The 1,558-nt window shown below is 40.6% G+C and overlaps 1 annotated feature.

The window, feature by feature from the left end:
* Positions 491-1,198: an enhancer, noted in NCBI's record as "OCT4-NANOG hESC enhancer chr4:11981013-11981720 (GRCh37/hg19 assembly coordinates)". NCBI's record gives its function as "activates a minimal SCP1, AML or CMV promoter by ChIP-STARR-seq in primed H9 embryonic stem cells {active_cell/tissue: H9 hESC(primed)}" and the evidence as "EXISTENCE:reporter gene assay evidence [ECO:0000049][PMID:30033119]".

The raw sequence follows: 1,558 nt of genomic DNA, 5'->3' as shown, positions 1-1,558 counted from the left end.
AAGTTTTGAGGTGACTTGTTGTGTAGTAATAGATAACTGATAAATTAACTTTTACCACGTACAATCACGACATTTCATGATACTCTTAAAATCAGATACGCAGTATGAAATTTGAAACTAGTAGACTAGGATTTGAATTTAGGGACCCAGCATCACCAATGCTGTGACCTAAAGTTAGGCTCACACCTGTTTGCCTCTCACTTTCTCATCTGAAAAATGAAGATATTAACAGCACACACAGCTGCCATCTTCCCTGTGATCATCTTTAATGCAGCACCTGACATGGATCAGAAAATGTGCTGGATGCCTTATGGTTCTTATCACTAATTTTCAGAATTGCCACTTAAATATAAGAGTTTATATTAAGTGTGTGTTTATATAAGTGTATAAGAGTTTATGTAAGTTATCAGGGGACCTGCCCCGATAATCACGTAGGTTCTTTTCTATTTTCCTAAGCGTCGGCTGGCTTGAGAAATAAAGGGACAGAGTACAAAAGAGAGAAATTTTAAAGCTGGGCGTCCGGGGGAGATATCACACGTTGGTAGGATCCGTGATGCCCCACAAGCCACAAAAACCAGCAAGTTTTTATTAGGGAGTTTCAAAAGGGGAGGGAGTATACGAATAGGTGTGGGTCGCAGACATCAAGTACTTAACAGGGTAATAGAATATCACAAGGCAAGTGGAGGCAGGGCGAGATCACAAGGCCACAGGATGGAGGCGAAATTAAAATTGCTAATGAAGTTTTGGGCACCATTGTCATTGATAACATCTTATCAGGAGACAGCGTTTTGAGATCAATCGGTCTGACCAAAATGTATTAGGTGGGAATTTCCTCTTCCTAATAAGCCTGGGAGCGCTATGGGAGACTGGAGTTTATTTCACCTCTGCAATCTCGACCATAAGAGACAGGTACGCCCCGGGAGGGCCAGTTCAGAGACCTACCCCTAGGTGCACATTCTCTTTCTCAGGGACGTTCCATGCTGAGAAAAAGAATTCAGCGATATTTCTCCCATTTGCTTTTGAAAGAAGAGAAATATGGCTCTGTTCTGCCCAGCTCACCAGCAGTCAGAGTTTAAGGTTTACTCTCTTATTCCCTGAACAATTGCTGTTATCCTGTTCTTTTTTCAGGGTGCCCACATTTCATATTGCTCAAACACACACGCTGTACAATTTGTGTAGTTAATGCAATTATTACAGGGTCCTGAGATGATATACATCCTTCTCGGCTGACAGGATTAAGAGATTAAAGTAAAGACAGGCATAGGAAATCACAAGTATGTTGATTGGGGAAGTGATAAGTGTCCATGAAATCTTTACAATTTATGTTTAGAGACTGCAGTAAAGACAGGCATAAGAAATTACAAAAGTATTAATTTGGGGAACTAATAAATGTCCATAAAATCTTCACAATCCACGTTCTTCTGCCATGGCTTCAGCCGGTCCCTCCGTTTGGGGTCCCTGACTTCCCGCAACAGTAAGTATATAAGGATTTATATAAATGTGTATTTTAAATATTGCCTAATTTTGCCATAGTCCCTTTCAAAGCGGTTCCAACAAT

Source organism: Homo sapiens, chromosome 4 (assembly GCF_000001405.40).
Source record: "Homo sapiens chromosome 4, GRCh38.p14 Primary Assembly".
NCBI classification, from domain to species: Eukaryota; Metazoa; Chordata; class Mammalia; order Primates; family Hominidae; genus Homo; species Homo sapiens.
This window is presented reverse-complemented; position numbering and strand designations above follow the sequence as displayed.